At 50.3% G+C, this 21,139-nt stretch overlaps 1 protein-coding gene across 1 annotated transcript; it reads right to left on the bottom strand.

Moving 5' to 3' along the window:
- Positions 1 to 9,054: 9,054 nt before the first annotated feature.
- PGA3 (pepsinogen A3) lies at positions 9,055 to 18,638 on the bottom strand. The gene is made up of 9 exons (NM_001079807.4): positions 18,533 to 18,638; positions 17,884 to 18,046; positions 15,526 to 15,643; positions 14,538 to 14,656; positions 13,663 to 13,862; positions 12,195 to 12,311; positions 10,919 to 11,063; positions 10,718 to 10,816; positions 9,055 to 9,600 (listed from the first exon to the last, which is right to left on the bottom strand). The coding sequence occupies exons 1-9, from the start codon at positions 18,586 to 18,588 to the stop codon at positions 9,451 to 9,453; spliced, it is 1,167 nt and encodes a 388-aa protein (NP_001073275.1). The 5' UTR covers positions 18,589 to 18,638; the 3' UTR covers positions 9,055 to 9,450.
- Between the last annotated feature and the right edge of the window lie 2,501 nt (positions 18,639 to 21,139).

The raw sequence follows: 21,139 nt of genomic DNA, 5'->3' as shown, positions 1-21,139 counted from the left end.
TGGGGGTGGACCCGCAGAGAGAGAGAGGAGCAATGACCGGGAGGCTATTTTCTTTTCTTTTCTTTTTCTTTCTTTTCTTTCTTTCTTTTTTCTTTTTCTTTCTAAGCAATGACCTGGAGGCTTATTTGTTTTCTTTTCCTTTCTTTCCTTTCTTTTCTTTCCTTCCTTTCCTTCTTTCTTTCCCTTTCTTTCTTTTTCTTTCTTTCTTTTCTTTCTTTCTCTTTCTCTCTTTCTCTCTCTCTCTCTCTTTCTTTCTTTCTTTCTTTCTTTTCCTCTCTTTCTCCCTTTCTCCCTTTCTCCATTTCTTTCCTTTCTTTCCTGAGGGAGTTTTGCTCTGTCGCGCCGCCAGAGGCTTATTTCTGAAGCATTGACAAGGGCCTACGTTAAAACTTTACCAGCTGAGCATTTTGACAAAGTTGGTTAAAAGTGCGTTTAACACAGCATTGGAGAGATGTGAAGGAGCCCCAGGTGGCCTGATTTGTCCCAGAGGGCATGCAGCTGGGGTTCTTAGAGAGCAGCCTCCCGACTCAGTCATAGGTGGTACTGGTTGTGGTCACTGCTTATTCACAGCACATTGGGGGGGTCAGTCGTTTGGGACTCAGGACACAATTCCCCACATAAGTGTCATTGTGTGGGGTTGTTGGGCGTCTGACTAGCCTATGGGCCTTGTGGCTTGCTTTTGGTGCAACTGGGCTGAGTCTGGGAAGGAGATGTGCACAGTACACGGGGGAGGAGGGAGACAGCACCGGGAGAATGCTGCCTTCCCTTCCTGGAGGAGGCAAACTTCAGACAGGCCAGGTATGTCTTTGGAATCTGTGTCCCTCCCTTTCTGCACCGCTTCTCTTTCTTTTGCTCCTTTCCCACCCTCTCCACCTTTGAGATCCCACCTGGGTCTGATTTCTCCAGGTGCTCCAGGCTTACAACTGGGTTGAAATCAGCTACAATGGAGCGAAGCAATCTGGGCAAACAATTCATACTCATGGGTGAGTGACTTAGAAAGAGGATGCTTGGCCGGGCGCCGTGGCTCACGCTTGTAATCCCAGTACTTTGGGAGGCTAAGACAGGTGAATCACCTGAGGTTAGGAGTTCAAGACCAGCCTGGCCAACATAGTGAAACCCCGTCTCTACTAAAAGTAGAAAAGTTAGCTGGGCATGGTGGTGGGCGCCTGTAATCCCAGCTACTGGGTAGGCTGAGGCAGGAGAATCACTTGAACCCAGGAGGCAGAGGTTATGAGAGGTGAAGCCGTCTGGGCTTCTGAGTCGATTAGGGACTTGGAGAACTTTCGTGTCTAGCTAAAGGATTGTAAATGCACCAATCAACATTGTGTGTCTAGCTAAAGGCTTGTAAATGCACCAGTCAGCACTCTGTGTCTAGCTGAAGGGTTTGTAAATGCACCAGTAAGCACCAGCTATTACACTCCCCGCGAAGGTCTGCAGCTTCACTCCTGAAGCCAGTGAGAGCACGAACCCACCAGAAGGAAGAAACTCTGGACACATCTGAACATCTGAAGGAACAAACTCCGGACACACCATCTTGAAGAACTGTAACACTGATCGCGAGGGTCCACGGCTTCATTCTTGAAGTCAGTGAGACCAAGAACCCACCGGAAGGAACCAATTCAGGACATAGTTGCAATGAGACGAGATCTTGCCTCTGTACTCCAGCCTGCGTGACAGAGCTAGACTCCGTCTCAAACAAAACAACAACAATAACAAAAAAAAAAAGACAAAAGAAAAAAGAAAGAGGATCCTTACCAACCCAATGGATCCTCCACTTTGTGAGCTTTTATTCAGTGAAGAAAGTAGAGTGAAAACTCTGATGCAGAAATTGCTGGGGAGGAGGACAGGGGAGCGGGGAGGTCACCAGGTAGATAGGAAGCCCTGTCTCAGGGTCTTGTTCTGAAATCGGATCCCCTGGGGCATCCTCAGACTGTCCAGCCATGAGAGCCACAGGTTCTATAAAAGCTCCAAGTTGCCCCCAGTGCCTCCAGGTGAGTATTGAGGAGTGGGCAGTGTGGATAAGTTCAGGGACAGTGGTGGTTGGTAGAAAACACATTGACATTACACACTCCCCAGTTAGTTGAAATCTTTGTGCCCCAAATGTGAATCCTGGGCCCATTTTCTTTTGTTTTCTTTTCTTTTTTTTAACTGTGAATGTTACTCCAGTATGACTAGCCCTTGTATTTTCCACGTTCACGTCCTCTGGTGCCTCCTTCTCTTCCTCTCAAGCTTCTCTCTCTCTCTCTCCCTTTCTTTTTTTTTGAGACAGGGTCTTATTCTGTCACTCAGGGTAGAGCGTAGTGGCATGAACATGGCTTACTGCAGCCTCAACCTCCCACGCTCAATCAGTCCTCTGGCCTCAGGCTCTGAGTAGCTGGGACGAAAGGCATGAGCCACTACACCGAGCTAACTTTTGTATTTTCTGTAGAGACAGGGCTTCACTATGTGGCCCAGGCTGGTTTCGAACTCCTGGGCTCAAGCGATCTTCCTGCCTCAGCTTCTCAAAGTGCTGGGATTACAGTGAACCACACTGCACCTGGCCCTCTCTCTCTTTATGGATACATAATATTTTACATATTTTTTGGGTTCATGTGATATTCTGTTACATGCATAGAAAGAGTAATGATGAAGTCAGGGTATTTGGAGTATCCGTCACCTTAAGTATGGGTTGATCCTAGCACTCATGTGAGGAACCTGATGGTCCTGAAGATGCTGCCTAAGTTCTGGGGGCACCAGATGGAATCCCCTCACTCAAGGCTGCCACCAGATGGAAGGGAGGGAGCTTGGAGCCCAAGGATGGGCACTGATTTTGGGGGCACAGCTTGTCTGGGGCCCACATGGGAATTTTGAGCAGAGGAGAAGTATATTTGGGAAGCAGAAGGAAGATTCCCCAGGCAGAAACGTGCAAGCCCCTTTACACATTCATTCAAATGCCTTATTGTGCACTTGCTGTGTACCGTGCAGGGATGCTCTAGCTGCGGAGGGTACATCCCTGAGCATGGTAGGACTAGGCCGTGCCTTTGGCGCATTTGTGGTCAGTTGAAGGGAAAGCTGGTGTGGAAGGGGCTCTTCCTTTCCACCTGGATGGATATTTGGATCACATTGAGGGGAAGCTCTCAGATTGGTGAAGATGATAATGTTTCTCCACATTAGAGATTTTAGCACCCTGAGGGACGCTGGCATGCTTGCTGACACCAATTCAGGGGTATGGCAGAGAGACTGTAGGATGGCCCCCAATTATTCATGCTGCTGGTGGTCACACCCCTGTATAATCCCCTCCCCTTTTGTGTAGGCAGGACTTGCTTCTAACTAACAGGATACAGCAAAGTAGATGGGATGTCAGTTTTGTGATGACATTATACAGGCTTGTAGCTTGTGTCTTGCTAGCACACTCTCTGTATAGACTCTTCCCCTTGCTGACTCTGATAAAGAAAGCTGCTCTATAAAGAGGCCCAAGAGGAAGGAACGAAGGGTGGCCTCCAGCTGACAGCCAGCAAGGAACTCAGGCTTTCAGTGTGACAATCTGCAAGTAACTGAATCCTGCCAGCAAGCGTGTGAGCATGGAAGCAGATCCTTCTCCAGTCAAGCCTCAGATGAGACCACAGACCAGGCTGACATCCCTGACTGACAGAGGCCTCAGCTGAACCGAGCCTGGATTCCTGACCCACAGAAACTGAGATAGTGAGTCAATGTGAGTTGTTATAAGTCATTCAATGTGTGTTAACTTCTCATCAGCAATAGAAAACAGGACTGGAAACCTTGTTGATAACTCGAAAAGGATCCACCTGATTGCCTCTTGCTCTTCCCTCTTTTGGGACCATTTCAGTGCTCTGCTAGTTGTTTTTCTGCTCAGGTAATGTGAGTGATCTGAAAAGGGGGAAGGTGACATTGTTGGTCAGGTCATCTGCAAATCTCCCACCACACAGCAGTGCTTACATTTGTGTGCCTATTTGTGCTTTTCTGAATGCTTTGAATTATTTTAAAAAAGAATTATTATACTATAACCCCCACTTTTTCGCAAGTGATGTAGCTCAAAGGGGTTAAGTGATCAGTGCAGGTTCACATAACTAAGTAATGACACAGATGGGACCTGAACCTGGGTCTCCGGAGGCTCTGGTCCCTGGCCAGACTATGTGACCATGTACATCCACCTGGTTTCTGTTCATGGGTTAGCGTGTGACAGGAATATTCCATGATGGCTGCAGCCTCCCTCCCAGGTGCACTTGGAGAAGCCATTCCACTCAGCCCCCTTTACTAGAGGAACCCTTGGGATGGAAAAGGGAATCCTGATTCTGCAACCACGTGCTCCCATGGGATCTGATTGTCAGCCAGGGCTGATCCGTGGCTGCCAGCAAGGAAGCCGCAACATCTCATTGTACGAGACTGGCCCGGCAGAAAGATTAGACAGCAACGTTTGCTTTGCCATTAGCCCTGCCTGGCACTCAGTATGGTATTGCCTGGCTTTCAGGGGGACTGGTAGCAGTGTCTCTGATGCAGGGCAGCCCCTGCCAATGGCACAGGTGTTCATAAATGTTCCATGAACCAATCAAATCAAGCAATGGAATGAGATCTAAGGAACCCAATCATGGCAAGGCTGAGATGGAGCACTTAAGCATGATAAGTGTTATCAAGCTGGTGTGATAGGCATTGGGGCAGCTGGTCCCCTAGCAGCTTTCAATCAAGGTCTCACCCCAGGGACATGATCTTCCAACACCAAAGAGAACACTGTGTTTTCCACTCCCCAGTCCCAGACCTGGGCTGCTTCTCCAGAGATGCCTGCAGGTTTTCAAAGCTAAATTGATGATAACTTTTTTGGCTCAAGTATAGAAGTAATACATGATCACTGTAGATTATTTATAGATAAATACAATTTTAAAAATGACTTTTAACCCCACTACCCAGAACTAACCACCACTGGCGTAGTAAATGAATATATTGATTTACTTACAAATATAGGACCACAAGATATGGCACATGTTGTTTTGCAAGCAACCCGCTTTGATGGGCCCAGCTCACTTCTGCTGCGCTACTCTATCTGCAACCTGAACCCGCTTTTAAAAGAAAAATCATGGTTCTGTATTTTACAAGTGATTTTTATAAATCTACATGATCATTTTAAAACTTTTCTCAAAATATGATATGCACACAGAAAGGTGCATATCATAAGAAACAGCTTGATGAATTTTCACAAACCAAGCACACACGTGTAACCACAACCCAGACCCAGCAAAAGAGCATGTCAGGTACCCCTGGAGCCCACCCCAGGCTCTTCCCAGTCACTATCCTAGGGCCAAACCAAGCGTATCACTACTCTGATTTCCAAACAGCAAAGATTCATTTCACCTGTTTTTGTACTTTTGCTAAGCAGTACCACATAACAAGCACTTTAGTTTGCATTGCGCTTCTTTGCTCAAAATCATGTTTAGGAGAGGCATCCACGAATGGCGGTGTGTGGAGTTGTTACTCAGTCATTTTCATTGCTGTGTATTATTCCTCTGCATCAATATACCCGCTATTTTCTCTTTTTCAGTTCATAGGCATTTGGGTAGCTTCCAGTGTGGAGTTCTTAGGAACAGTGCTCTATGAATGTTCTCTTGTATACACATCTTCTTTCTTTTCCTTTTATTTATTTATTAAAAACAATAGAAATGAAGTCTTGGTATGTTGCTCAGGCTGGTCTTGAACTATGGCCCGAAGCAGTCCTGCCGCCTTGGCCTTCCCAAGTGCTGGGGTTACACCATGAGCTACTGTGCCTGGCTGTTTTCTTTTTAATTGACATGTAATAATTGTACATATTTATGGGTACATAAGGATGTTTCTGTACATATAATGTTTAGTGATCAGATCAGAGTAATTAGCATATTTATCATCTTGAACATTTATCATTCCTTTGTTTTTTTTTTGGAGACAGAATCTCGCTGTGTCGCCCAGGCTGAAGTGCAATGGTGCCATCTCGGCTCACTGCAACCTCCACCTCCCGGGTTCGAGAGATTCTCCTGGCTCAGCCTCCCAAGTAGCTGGGAATTACAGACATGTGTCAACACGCCCGGCTCATTTTGTATTTTTTGTGGAGATGAGGTTCCACCATGTTGGCCTGGCTGGTCTCAAACTCCTCACCTCAGGTGATCCACCTGCTTCGGCCTCCCAAAGTGCTGGGATTACAGGCGTGAGGATTATGTGAGCCACCGTGCCTGGCCGGCATATGCATTTTTAATTTTGATAGATACAGCCACATCATGCTTCTTAGGGTGGTGCCAGTTTACACTCCCACCAGCAGCGTGTGGAGTGATCATTTGGGACAGGTGAGGATGGATGGGGCAGGAGACCTGTGAGATTAAAATAACACTCCTGGATGAGTGTGAATGAAAAGGATGGAAGGAGCTGTGCTTCGACCCCAGGGCCCTTCGAGGAGGATGCATGGAGCAGAGGCCTGAGACTGCAGGAAAGGATTGTGAATTCATCTTCTGTTGTGCAGCAACATGAGGAGGATGAAATCAGATATGTTGGCACAGGGCTTTCTGGTCAAATGATCTGTCTGATGAGGAACGTCTTTAGATTGTGACAGGGTTCAGGAATCCCAGGGTGGGAATGGAAGAGGTGCTGGGCGAGAGAGGCTGAGCTGCAGCTGCTGGTGTTGAGATGGGGGAGGAAGGAAGGCTGGGATCAGGTGCAGGAGAACAGATAGGATCCAGGAAGACCTGCCTTCCTATATCCCCGGAGCCTAGCACACTGCCTAGCTTCAAAGTAGGTACATGGGAAATATCAGAAAAATAAATCCAGCAAAGAAGCCAGGACAGGGTGAAATTCCTTCCCAGAAACTTGAGAAATCCACCTGCTTATCCCATGACAGAATATGACGGGGATGGAATGTTGGTGGGGGTGGGAGCTGACCCACCTGTTGTTATTCACATGGCCTTTGTCAAACCATATCCCCACTCTCATACTCTCATCCTATCTGAGATGGTTCCTTTCAAAAAGTCTTCTCTAATCACTCATTCAGCAAATATTTATTGACCTCCTAGTATGTGCCAAGCCCGGCTCTTGCTGCTTGGGCTTCAAACCTAATTAAAACCATCACCATCCCTGTCCTTGTGAATCTTAAACACTGAAATGCATGGTTATAGGTAGTGCCAAGTACCATGAGGGAAAATGTAGGCCCAGGCTCTCTGAGAGAGTGGTGAGGGAGGGCTGATCACTTTTACAGGGAAGTGACATTTTTTTTTTTTTTGAGACGGAGTTTTGCTCTTGTTGCCCAGGCTGGAGTCCAGTGGTGCAATCTCGGCTCACTGCAACATCCACCTCCTGGGTTAAAGCGATTCTCCTGCCTCAGCCTCCTAAATAGCTGGGACTACAGGTGCCCACCACCACACCCAGCTAATTTTTTGTATATTTTTAGTGGATATGGGGTTTCACCATGTTGGCCAGGCTGGTCTCAAATTCCTGACCTCAGTTAATCTGCCCACCTCGGCCTCCCAAAGTGCTGGGATTATAGGCGTGAGCCACCAAGCCTGGCTGAGAAGTGACATTTAAGCCACGTCTGCAGATGCTAGGTGTTAGCTAGTCAAGAAAGAGGGAAAAGCAACCCTGGCAAAGGGAACAGCATGTGCAAAGTCTGGAGGTGGGAAAACACTTGGGCTATTGTGGCCGTGGGAGGCCAGGGTGGAGGGAGCTCGGGGTAACGGGATCAGAGTGAAGCAGGGAAGGTTTGGAGGGAAAGGAGCACACAGGACGTGGGACTATGCCAAAGATTTGCTGTTTTATTCCAACGGCAATGGCAAGAAGGCATTAAGAGTTTAAAGCAAGGAAGGGATGAGATGAAATTTATGTTTCCTAAAGTTTATTCAGCTATGGAAAATGGGCTTGGGAGGGTGAGAGTGACCCTGGGGAGACTGGGTGTTGGAGCTCACCCCCGCCCTTCCTAGAGCCCAGCTCCAGCCTCTGGGCTTGTGTCTTCAGCAGAAAGCCTGGGTCGGCTGTCACCAGAAGCAGGAGCTATGGGAATTTTCCCAGCATGCATGCCGGGGAGCCCAGGGCTGTAATAGACTTACTAGCAAGAGAGAGTCTGAGATGAAGCTCAGCTGAGTTAAAAAGAAACAGATCACTTTGCAGCAGGGCTTGTCAGAGCCTTTGATTGGGAACTGTAGCTGGTGAACCCTGGGGAAGGGCCTAGAATGTAGCATGTTCTATACTTATTCTGAAACTGTGTTTTCCATTGAACATTTTGCTACCAAGCCCAGTCTGAGAAACTGCTCCATTTCCTCTTTGCCTTTCTAGGGCATATATGCTAATGAACATGCTTAATTCTCTGTCTCACAACCTCTGCTCAGGGAAGTGGAAGACCTTTCTCTTTGGTTACAGATGGGGAAAGAGATGGGTTCAGTGTTTTCTGCCTAGGACCTTGGGGAGATTAACTGTTAGTCTTGGTCTTGGTAGCCAGTGAATCACAAGGGCATCCTGGAAGACTGTGGGGTGTCAGCTTCTTCCACTTCTCCTGTCCACGTCTTGCAGACAACTCTGCCCTGTCCTATCTACTTAGGGACATCACCATTAGTGTCTACCTCTCGTGACTCTCCTGATTGCTTTCCTTTCCTCATGATCTCTTTTCTTTTTTTGTTTTTTTTTGAGATGGAGTCTCGCTCTGTCGCCCAGGCTGGAGTGCAGTGGTGCGATCTCAGCTCACTGCAACCTCCGCCTTCCAGGTTCAAGCGATCTCTTGGCTCAGCCTCCTGAGTAGCTGGGATTATAGGTGCGCACCACCACACCCAGCTCATTTTTGTAAATTTATTAGACAGGGTTTCACCATGTTGGCCAGGCTGGTCTCAAACTCCTGACCTCAGGTGACCTGTCCGCCTCAGCCTCCCAAAGTGCTGGGATTACAGGCGTGAGCCACTGTGCCCAGCCTTCTCATGATCTCTTATTGGCTTTGGGAGAAGTAGGAGGTTGACTCCCTCAACTAAGAGCTTCAGTGACCTATTTTTTTCTTTCTGAGCTGGAGTCTCTCTGTGTCGCCCAGGCTGGAGTACAATGGCACGATCTCAGCTCTGTGTCCCTTCTATGAGAAGACAATTAGCCCAGTATTTTGACCCCCAGGTCTTTTTATGATGCTTCCAGCACAACCCCCGAAGCCTCTCTGTCTTCTTGGCTCCATCATGAAGTGTCAGCTGCTGGGGTCACTATGTTGGGTGCCATCCAAATGGATGTGGTCATTTTCATCCCTGCCCTGGTGTTCTAACCCCAGTAATGTGAAGGAAAAAGACCAGCAAAGAGAAGCAGCTCCACAAAACCTGTTTCAGTGGGTTATGTTTTTATTCTACGTTATTGGTAGGACAGGGAACAGGGCCAAGACCTCCACACTCCCCTGGGAAGAACAGTCAGGAGAATTAGATACATCTAAAGTGGGCACAGGACAGAGGCCAGATCTTCCTGGGAGGTGGCTGAAGAGACTTAGGCTTAAGCCACGGGGGCCAGGCCGACCTGGTTGTTTGCCCTGTCGAAGACGGTAAAGTACTGGCGGATGAAGACATCACCCAGGATCCAAAGCTCTCCAGATTCGGTGGGGAGGTTCATGCCCTGGAAGCCACTGATGCAGCTCCCCTCGCTCTGGAGAAAAGGAGAATAAAAGTGGAGCTGGGACACCGATTCAGCCGTGATAGGCGCTGGGTGATAAACATCCAGGGCGCCCTGGTCCAGCTGTAAGGCACGTGCAAGGAGGAGCTTCCTGGCTCAGTGTCCAGGGACTCGGCTGTTCTTGGCCTGGAGTCGGCCTGTAGAAGCCGTCCACTGAACGACTGGTTTCTACGCATTACTGGACATTATCTGGTGTTTCTGGCAGGCACACGAACCCTGACATCAGCATTGGTGCTAAGGGGCTTAGGGAGAATTCAGCTGCTAGGAAGGAGTTTGAAAACCCTGCCGCCATAGCCTTTTCTCATTATTATTCTGATCCGGTCAGAGGCAAACCAGATGAGCTATTAGCCCTCTTGCCTCACTAAGTCACTGGGCTGCGACCTTGTCTGCACATCACCTGGGGAGCTTTGAACCCCCGCAGCCCCATCCCATTGCTCAGGCCTTGCCCTCTCCTAATGTAATCAGAATCAGTGGGGGAGCCCAGGCATCAGTGCTTCTTGTTGAGTAACATGAGTCCACTGGCAAAATTAGTTTTCCACCTGACGTTATGATAACAGAAGGGAAAGAGTTTTCTTGTGGCTCGTATAGCTAAAGATTTGCTACTTGGTAGAGATGGTAGAAGTGTCAGAAGCCCCAGCCTACGGAAATTAGGATTTCCATTTGCCCAACCCTTGGTAGCTCTGATGTGATCAGTCTCACTTGGTTGACCTAACCGCACTCTGAGGGTGGGGAAAGCTGCCATCTCTACTTTTTGGATGAGAAAACTGAGGGTGAGATGAGTTGTAATTTGTTCAGAATCAATGGGCTAGTAATTCAGACCCAGGACTTGGACCCAGGGGTCCAAATAGAATCCTCTTTTCACTCCATTAACCTTTGCTTCACTTGTTCCCTTAGGGGGCTGTATCCGAGTTCTTATTCCTGCATTTGTTTTTAATATATTCTTTTTCTCTGGAGGCTGTCTAGGGCAGATGTTCGTCTGCCTCTGCCTCTTGGCTTCAGCTCGTGGAAGTGTACTTTCCGTCTGCAGAGGGGAACTCTGTGTCCACATTCTGTGTGAACCCCTCTAGTGGATGGTCCAGAGCCTCCTCACCTGCAGGATGTAGGCACTGGGTGGCACGGGGTACTGGACTCCATTGATGGTGAAGACGATGTCGGGCAGGCTGCTGATGGCTGAGCAGCTGACCACCATCTGGAAAGAGTGAGGGTGAGAAAAGTTAGAAGGGTTTCTGTCCCTTCTGCCTGGCACACCCACTACTTGAGTGTAGAACAGAGCAGTCGGGGCTGGACTCACGTCGCCATCTGAGTTCTCGCTGGCTCCGATGTCGCTCTGGATGTTGGCAATGGGGCTGGTTGGGCCGGTCAGCAGAGAGGTGCCGGTGTCAACAATGGCCTGGCAGCCCTCAGCGCAGGCGATGGCCTCTCCGTTCATGGTGATGCTGAGGGCAAGAAGCAAGTTAAGCTCCCTGAGCTCTCAGGGGTACTTCTCTCCAAGGAGGAACTAGGAGGTGAGCCCAGACATTTCTTCCCCACCCATCCATTGGCCAATGCGTGAAATTTCTGTTCCTCTCGTTCACGCACTCATTCGTCCCGCATTCATTTGCCCAACAAATATTTCCCAAGTGCCTACTCTCTGCCAGGCATGGGAAATGCCAAGTGAAACAAGACAGCCTCACAGTTCCAGGCTGCAGGGAGCTCCCTGCCTAGCTGGCAAGATAAGTTATGTTGGCAGAAGGGCAAGATGATCAGTCAGGCATGAGGCAGGGAACAAAAACAGGGTCCAGGGTGAGAGGTGGTGGAGGGGAGCAGCCAGGGGAACAGACACCCTGGAATGCCAGGCAGGTGAAGAGAGAAGGAGGACATCATCAGGGGATGGTATGCGGGGAGGTACAGAGACCAGAGGGCTGGGGCAGGTGTTGGAGGAACTGGTGAAATTCTAGCATGGCTGGGCAGACATGAGGTGATCCATGTGTCCTGGTTTGCCTGGGCTGGTCCCAGTTTTAGTACTGAAAGTCTCTGTCCTGGGAAATTGTTCATTCTTGGGAAAACCCACACCACTGAGCACGCTAGCAGGCTAGCTGGGGAAGAAGAGCGTGGAAATGAAGCTGCAAGGGAGACCGGGGAGGCCCTGAAGGGGAGGGTGGAATGAAGTGACTTCACACAATTTCTTAGCCATTTTGCCCCACTTCTAGACGGAAAGTGACATGTTTCCTCGAGTGGCAGGAGCGTGTGCTGGTTCACCGGCCCCTTAAATTGTCAGATGCGTGGACAGGTGGGTCCCCCAGCTCTCCCCAGGGATGCTGGTGGATGGTCCTGCCTCCGTGACTAGGAGGACAGTGGCTATCTCACCCTTGCAGAGTCTTGGCTTCCTAGACAGCTCTTCCCTCCTCCTGCAGGGAGGTGTCTTTCTAGGGGTCTCTGGCTTGGCCAACTTCCACCTTCCCCCTGGAGTGTGTTCCCCTGTGCCAGCTGTTCCTGGGGGGATTCTGGAAAGCTGATTGGCTATGAATCCATAAGGAAATGGGATCTGGGGCCCAGGCCTGGATGCTGCCCGTTCATGGCAGTCTCACCTGTCCACGGTGATCTGCCAGTAACCCTCGACGGTAACAGGCACCCAGTTCAGACTTCCAGTGTAGTAAGAAGAGTCAATGCCACCAAAGATCACCACGCTGCCACTCTGGTCATCGCTGTGGAAAGTGAGGGGAGAAGACATGAATTTTTTTGTTCGTCCATTTGTGTGACCATCTGCTGTTGCCTCCTCAGGGCTACCCTTGATTGGGCACTTTCTAGGGCTGTCCTGCGGTGTGACTAATGTGGTTTCTTTTCCTCTTAGGCCAGTGCCTATGCAGTGGGCACTGTCACTGTTATTTCCACTTACCATGAGGACACTGAGCCTGAGGGAGGTGAGGCCACCTGCCCAAGGTCATACAGCGGGGGAGTGGTGGAACTACGTTTGGAAGAACACAGGCCTTTTAGGTTGAGTCTGTGGTTTCCATGGTGGTACCCACTCTGGTTGCCATGGGGACCCCAGGGAAGTGAATGCATGACAGTGTCCGCTCTTAAGGACTTGAGGGTGGAGGTCACTGGTTCTTAGCTGGGAGCAGTTTTGCCCCCAGGGGAATGTCTGGAGACATTTTGGATTGTCATGATTGGGTGGGGGTAGGGGATGCTGCCGGCATCTCATGGGTAGAGGCTGGGGATGCTGCCAAACATCCTACAATGCACGGGACAGTCCCTGGCGGCAAGCTCTTATGTTGGTCTGAAATGTTAATAGTGCCCAGATTGAGAAACTCGGATCTGGCTGGGGAGATGCAATGGCCCCACATGAAATATTTAAGTGCTCATAAAGGCAGATGATGTTTCAGAGCCACCTTGAACATTAACTGGCCAAGAAGAATACATGACAAAGAGCCTTCCTGTGGTAAATTGCAGGAGTCCTTGTTATTGCAATATTCATGTTCTAAATTTCTGCAGTTTCAGGTTAGATGAGGAAGCAAATGTAGACAGCAAGAAGAAATTAGTCATCCAGGGCCGGGCACGGTGGCTCACGCCTGTAATCCCAGCACTTTGGGAGGCTGAGGCAGTCAGGTGATCGAGACCATCCTGGCTATCACCATGAAACCCAGTCTTGAATTCCTGACTTCAGGTGATCCTGCTGCCTCAGACTCCCAAAGTGCTGGGATTACAGGCATGAGCCACCACACCTGGCCAAGTGTATTCACTTTAAATGGCATCTTTGCGGGCCAAGGATGAGGGAAGTGGTACTGAGGGGGAAATGGCTGATGACATTTGAGTTGTGCACATCAAGGGGACAAAGATGCTGGTAAAATAAGATGGAGTGCACATGGCCCGTCAGAGACAGACTTGGCACTATTACTCTCCAAAGACACACTTCTCCAGCCTCAGACATTGACTTTCAAATCCCTTGCTTCCCAAGACCCTCTCCATCGCACCCAGCCTTGGACAGCTCCTGCTGGGCAGGAACACTGTGACCTCTGGAGGGGGAGGTGGGAGGAGGCCCCTCTCCACTCAACTTACGCGCTGAGGTAGACAGAGAAGAGGTCCTGAGAAACCAGGCCCTGGTTCCAGATGTTGTCAAAGACGGGTGTGGCCCCGGAGGAGGAAATGCTGGGGTAGGCCAGCCCCAGGATGCCATCGAAGGGAGCATAATACAGGAAGGAGCCAGGTTCCGTCTCGCTCAGGCCGAAGATCTGATTGGTGTCAGAGATGCCTCCAACCTGGGTGGGGAAACCGAGATGATGTTCACCATCGGGTCATGTTCACTGAGCTCTGGATGCCAGCCTCAGGCCCAGAGCCACCCTGGTTCATCTCATGCAGGACTTGGCTTCCAGGGTATCAGCCCGGGAGGAGGGCAGAGGGACTGTCTGCTGGAATGCTGGTTCCTCTGCTGGAGGTAACCATGGCAGCTGATCTCCAGATGGCTACAGTCTATGACTCAGGGTGAGATTTTGCTGGAGAACAGATGGTCACTGTGTGTTTGTGTTTCTGATGAACAAACGCAAAGCAGACCCCAGACCCCAGGCCTTTGACCCCTGCCATGCCCCGAAAGTGGCAGGGAGGGCTTGTGGAGATTTCGTGACTTGGGGTGCTGCATGTCGGGAGAAGAAGGAAGAGGAGGAGGTGCTAGTAGAGAAGTGAGCCTTTACTGACTCTCCCCACACTCCATAACATTCTGCTTGGGTGGAGCTGAGTCTGGGTTATGGCTCCTGGCACCCCACCCTTTTACTCACTGCCACCCGAGCTAGCAATGTCTGTGACATCTCTGCTGCTTCTCCCCCACCCCGCACCCCCAATCAGGTTACTTCTGTGATCACCAAGACTCATCTTGCTGGAATAAGCTTATTTTGGGGGTGCCTGATGGGGGGATGCAGCGGCAGCCTGCAGGTGCCCACCTGGACAGTGTCGTATCCGAGGATGCCTGTCATGCTGCCGGTGCCGTAGGTGATGGAGACTGTCTCGCTGGTGGACTGGTAGGTGGAAGAATCCTCAGGGTTGAAGCGGTTGTGGTTGGCTGCAAGGACAAGCGGTGAGTGTTATTCTCTGAGAGCTGGGTGAAGGTCATGGGCTGGATGTCTTCCTGGGATGGGGTGCCCTGGCCCTGGGACGGGCTCTGGAGGTGAGCAGTGACCTTTCGCCCTAGACCCTTGGAGCCCAAGAGACCCCAGGTTCTGTCCTGTCTCGTTGAACTACTGGGACCATTCACTGGTGGCAGTTTCCCCAGCCAACCCCAAGGGCCTCCTGGAGACCTCCCCAGACCAACATAGAGCGGAGCAGGCCCGTGGCTACCCAGTGACGAGCGCTTTCACCCTCTAGCCCCCAGCCAGTGCTCCCGTTATGATGTGGATGATGCCACAGGCACCTCATCTTCATTAAAACTCCAGTGAAAACACTAGAAGAGGAAGGAACCTGCAACACACATTGTTCATGACTTCCAAAGACAAACTCTCTTTCATTAGCAAACCAATGATTCTTTTTTTTTTTTTAAATGAGCTCAGCACTGACCTCTAGCCTGTCCTAGCCAGGCTTTGAAGCCATTTTCTCACACTGGACTCTTTCCTGGTGGGCTATTCTACAGCCCTTTGGCCCTGTCTTGCTTTGGGCCCCCCATACTTCCTCTCCCAGCCTGTGGTTATTGAGGAGAGCTTCTCTCTGCCCTCAGACTGTGTAGTCTTTGACCGCAGGGATCATATCACTCATCCCTTTACCCCCTGGAGCACCTGAGCCCAGTGCTTGGCACGTAGTAGGTGCTCAATAAATGCCTGTTGAGTGGCTCCAGCAGGCTTGAGGTGGGAACTGTTTGAAGCCCGTGGGTGTCCAGGGTTCCCCAGGGTCGGCTGGTGCTGGGGAGTGAGAGTGGGGTAGGGCGGTCTGGGCACTTACTGCAGGCAAGACTGGAGCAGTAGACTGAGGGCACCCACAGGTTGGAGGAGCCGGTGTCAAAGACGACGGTGAAATCCTGGGCAGGAGTTCCGATGCCGATAGTGCCGAAGTACTCCATCTGTCCAGGCGAGGACAGGGCAGTTCACGGAACGGGGTCTCTCTGTCAGGGCCTCCCTAGGGGCTGTCTCTGGGTCATCTCCTCAGTCTGCCTCTCCATCTTTTCCTTCATTCCTCACAGTTCTTATCTTTCTCTTCCCAGCCACTGTCTTCATCCTTCAAATCCCAGCCCTGGCGTCCCTTCCTCCTTGAAGTCTTCCCTGATTGCTCCCCCAATTTACCCTCTGCTCTCTGTTAAGCACCACAAGCACCTAACAATCTGCTGTTCCCTCTTTAGCCATTGTCTTGTCTGTCACAGTCTTCCCATCCGTACAGCGCATGTTCTCAGAGGATGGCGGTGGAACCTTCTAGCACCGGGCAAGTTACAGCTTAAGTGCTTGTGCCTTAAATTGTTTATCAGAAGCTAAGCAAGCCACTTAAAGATGGAAACCTGTCCAGTTTTCTTATTTCTACGTCTAGATGTGTACAGCAGGTTTTGAGAAAGGGCATTGCCAGAATTTTTATTCTTTTTTTTTGAGACAAGTCTCACTCTGTTGTCCAGGCGGGAGTGCAGTGGCGCGACCTCGGCTCACTGCAGCCTCCTCCTCCTGGGTTCCAGTGATTCTCCTGCCTCAACCTCCCAAGTAGCTGAGATTACAGGTGTGTGCCATCATGCCCGGCAAATTTTTGTATTTTTAGTAGAGACGGGGTTTCACCATGTTGCCGGGCTGGTCTCGAACTCCTGACCTCAAGTGATCCACCCGCCTCCGCCAATCAACCAGTATTTTTCTTGTTAGTGGCAGCATTTTCCCCCTGCCGGCTCTGTTCCCGCCACACTGGTCTGCTTGCTGTTCTTTGGCGATGACCAGTCACTCCTGCCCTAGGGCCTTTGCACTGGCTATTCCTTGTGCTAGGAAAATGTTTATTCTAGATCTTTCCTTGGCTGATCCTTTTATCAAAAATCAATCATTCAGCTCTCTAGTCAAATGTCCCCTCTGCCAACAGGCCTTCCGTGACCACTTTATCTAAATTTGCCCCCTCTCAATCTTTTTGTTCCCCATAGTCCAATTAATTAATTTGTCATGGTCCTCATCATTATCTGAAATTCTCTTACATGGTTGTTTATTTGTCATCCCCTTTAGAGTATAAGCTCCAGGAACTTTGATTATTCACCATCATTTTGGCAACTTGCATAGCCTCTGGCACATAGAGAGGTGCCAATATTTGTTAAATATTTGTGAACTAAATAAATGCGCTAATTAAGCCTCTTACCAAGGGCCTGGCAGACCCCATGCTAAGCACTCCAGAAAACATGATCGTGTTAATTCCTGGCAACATCCTCTGACGGTAGATATTAGTGGTTCTGTTTTCCAGACCAAGACACAGGCTCAGAGTATTTAAATGACTTGGCCAAGGTCCTGTGGCTTAGAGGCACTAGGACCCATATTTGCACCAGGTCTGCTGGATGGCAGAGGCCAGTCTCTGAACCACGGGCATCACTGCTTTGTGCCCTGTGCCCTGTGCCAGTCACAGAGGGGACATACAATATCTGCAGGAGGGCAGGGTGTTTGCTATCGGATCTCAAATAATAAAGTCAGGGTGATCTTTCTGAAACTCAGATCTGATCTTGTCACACCCCTGTTTAAGATAAATCAGAGGCAGTTAGGATGGAGCCTCTCTGCGTCCACCCCTCGGCTCCTCGGACCGCAGTCTGCAGCACCCTTCTTCCCTCCCTCTCGGCTCCCCTTCAAAGGCACTGTGCTCCCGCCTGCTACAGGGTTTGGCACAAGGGATCAGGCTATGCGGAGTTCTGTCTTGTTGTCTTGGAAACTGCCGCTCTTCCTGCGTGGCTCCAGGGAGGCTCCCTGCCCAAGTGGCAGACTCTCGCAGTGTGACACCGTCACTCTGTAGTCCTCCTGCTGCCTGTTCCTTTCATTGCTTTGCGAGACCCCTTGATGACTGTGTTTGTCTCCTAGGCTATGAGTTTGCTCACTGCTGTCTCCCCCTGAGCCCAGCACAGGCCCTGAAATAGAATGAGGCGCTCAGAGAAATTAACATTGCATGAACGAGTGAACGAATGAATGAATGAACTCTGACTGTGAGCTTTCCTGCCTGCCCTGGGCCACTGACATCTAGGGGGCAGACTCTGGGTCACTGCCTGGAGCCACAGAGCCCAGGCCCGTCCTCCAAGACCCCTGGGACACCCTCTTTCCTGCGGGCCAAGTCCTCAGAGCTGGCCCCACCACTTGCCCGCACACTCACATCCAGGTAGTTCTCCAGGGGCTGTTCATCTACCAGGGTGGGAGCCTTCCACTGGGGGAAGTACTTTCTGGCTGGGTTGAGGTTGTGCTTCTTCAGGAAGTCCTTCAGCAGGCCACGCTCGGACAGGGTGCGCCTCAAGGACTTCTTTCTGATGAGGGGGACCCTGTGGTTTGGAGAAGGAAGAGGAATTAGGCAAGGATTCTGCTGACCGGGTGCTGTGGCAGCCCCAGAAGGGAAGGGAAGCTGGTCTAAGAGAGGAAGAAGGAAGGAAAGGAGACGCCCCCTCTTCTGCCCAACAATGCAAAGAAGTTAAGTTGACTAGTGCTGGAGCTGGGAGCCAAACCCAGGCTGGACTCTTAACCAGCTGATCTAAGAGAGGAAGATGGAAGGAAGGGAGAAGCTCCCACTTCTGCCCCATAATGCAAAGAAGTTAAGCTGACTAGGGCTGGAGCTGGGAACCACAGTCAGGCTGGGCCCGAGTTTTAACCATGTCTGCAGGGCTGCCTCCCAAAAAGGCAGAGAGAGAGGCGGAAAAGGGGGATGGAGACAGCTGAATAGAGAGGGAGAAAAAAGGGAAGAAGGAAGACACGGGAGGAAAGAAAGGTGATGTGGGAGGCAGCGTCTTCACACCCACACCACCCGGACTCACTTGTACATGATGCACTCAGAGAGTGCCACCAGACCCAGCAGCAGCAGCCACTTCATGGTTCTTCCCGGGTCCCAACTCGAGGGAGAAGGCAAGACGGGAGGAAGGTGCAGAGCAGCAGCATGAGCTGCCCCTTATATACAAGTTGGGTCCCGCCTTATCGGCCTCTGAAAGTCACCGGTTCCCCTGATCCCAAACAGAGAAGCTCCTGATAAGATTGTGGCTGCCCTAAGCCACATTCTGAGATCTTTCCAGCTGAGGCACTTTCCACTATAACTTTGCACCATGGGGAGGGGGGAGGGTGCCATGGGGATGGACCCGCAGAGAGAGAGAGGAGCAATGACCGGGAGGCTTTTTTCTTTCTTTTTTCTTTTCTTTTTTTTTCTTTCTTTTTCTTTCTAAGCAATGACCTGGAAGCTTATTTGTTTTCTTTTCCTTTGTTTCCTTTCTTTTCTTTCCTTTCTTTCCTTCTTTCTCTTTCTCTCTTTCCTTCCTTCCTTCCCTCCTTCCTTCCTTTCCTTTCTTTCCTTACTTTCCTGACGGAGTTTTGCTCTGTCGCGCCGCCAGAGGCTTATTTCTGAAGCATTGACAAGGGCCTACGTTAAAACTTTACCAGCTGAGCATTTTGACAAAGTTGGTTAAAAGTGCGTTTAACACAGCATTGGAGAGATGTGAAGGAGCCCCAGGTGGCCTGATTTGTCCCAGAGGGCATGCAGCTGGGGTTCTTAGAGAGCAGCCCCCGACTCAGTCATAGGTGGTACTGGTTGTGGTCACTGCTTATTCACAGCACATTGGGGGGTCAGTCGTTTGGGTCTCAGGACACAATTCCCCACATAAGTGTCATTGTGTGGGGTTGTTGGGCGTCTGACTAGCCTATGGGCCTTGTGGCTTGCTTTTGGTGCAACTGGGCTGAGTCTGGGAAGGAGATGTGCACAGTACACGGGGGAGGAGGGAGACAGCACCGGGAGAATGCTGCCTTCCCTTCCTGGAGGAGGCAAACTTCAGACAGGCCAGGTATGTCTTTGGAATCTGTGTCCCTCCCTTTCTGCACCCCTTCTCTTTCTTTTGCTCCTTTCCCACCCTCTCCACCTTTGAGATCCCACCTGGGTCTGATTTCTCCAGGTGCTCCAGGCTTACAACTGGGTTGAAATCAGCTACAATGGAGTGAAGCAATCTGGGCAAACAATTCATACTCATGGGTGAGTGACTTAGAAAGAGGATGCTTGGCCGGGCGCCGTGGCTCACGCTTGTAATCCCAGTACTTTGGGAGGGTGAGGCAGGTGAATCACCTGAGGTTAGGAGTTCAAGACCAGCCTGGCCAACATAGTGAAACCCCGTCTCTACTAAAAGTAGAAAAGTTAGCTGGGCATGGTGGTGGGCGCCTGTAATCCCAGCTACTGGGGAGGCTGAGGCAGGAGAATCGCTTGAACCTGGGAGGCAGAGGTTGTGAGAGGTGAAGCCCTCTGGGCTTCTGAGTCGGGTGGGGACTTGGAGAACTTTTGTGTTTAGCTAAAGGATTGTAAATTCACCAATCAGCACTCTGTGTCTAGCCAAAGGTTTGTAAACACACCAGTCAGCACTCTGTGTCTAGCTAATGGGGTGGGGACTTGGAGAACTTTTGTGTCTGGCTAAAGGATTGTAAATGCACCAAGCAGCACTGTGTCTAGCTGAAGGCTTGTAAATGCACCAATCAGCATTCTGTGTCTAGAGAATCAGGTGGGGAATTGGAGAACTTTTGTGTGTAGCTAAAGGATTGTAAATGCACCAATCAGTTCTCTGTAAAATGGACCAATCAGCAGGATGTGTGTGGCGCCAAATAAGGGACTAAAAGCAAGCCACTGGAGCCAACAGTGGCAACCTGCTCGGGACATCTTCCAGGCTGTGGAAGCTTTGTTCTTTCGCTCTTCACAATAAATCTTGCTGCTACTCACTCCTTGGGTCTGCACTACTGTTATGAGCTGTAACACTCACCGCGAAGGTCTGCAGTTTCATTCCGGAAGCCAGCGAGATCACGAACCCACCGGGAGGAATAAACAACTCTGGACGCGCCACCTTTAAGAGCTGTTACACTCACCGCGAAGGTCTGCAGCTTCACTCCTGAAGCCAGCGAGACCACAAACCAACTGGGAGAAACTCTGGACACATCTGAACATCTGAAGGAACAAACTCCAGACACACCATCTTGAAGAACTGTAACACTCACCGTGAGGGTCGGCGGCTTCATTCTTGAAGTCAGCGAGACCAAGAACCCACCGGGAAGGAACCAATTTGGGACACAGTTGCAATAATCCGTGATCGCGCCACTGCACTCCAGCCTGGGCAACAGAGCTAGACTCCATCTCAAACAAACAAACAAACAAACAAAAAAAAAAAAAAGAAAAAAGAAAGAGGATGCTTACCAACCCAATGGATTGTGAGATTTTATTCAGTGGACAAAGTAGAGTGAAAACCCTGATGCATAAATTGCTGGGGAGGAGGACAGGGGAGCGGGGAGGTCACCAGGTAGATAGGAAGCCCTGTCTCAGGGTCTTGTTCTGAAATCGGATCCCCTGGGGCATCCTCAGACTGTCCAGCCATGAGAGCCACAGGTTCTATAAAAGCTCCAAGTTG

The sequence above is a fragment of the Homo sapiens genome, chromosome 11 (genome assembly GCF_000001405.40).
Source record: "Homo sapiens chromosome 11, GRCh38.p14 Primary Assembly".
NCBI classification, from domain to species: domain Eukaryota; kingdom Metazoa; phylum Chordata; class Mammalia; order Primates; family Hominidae; genus Homo; species Homo sapiens.
The sequence above is the reverse complement of the archived record's forward strand: the minus strand, read 5'-3'. Positions and strand labels throughout refer to the sequence as shown.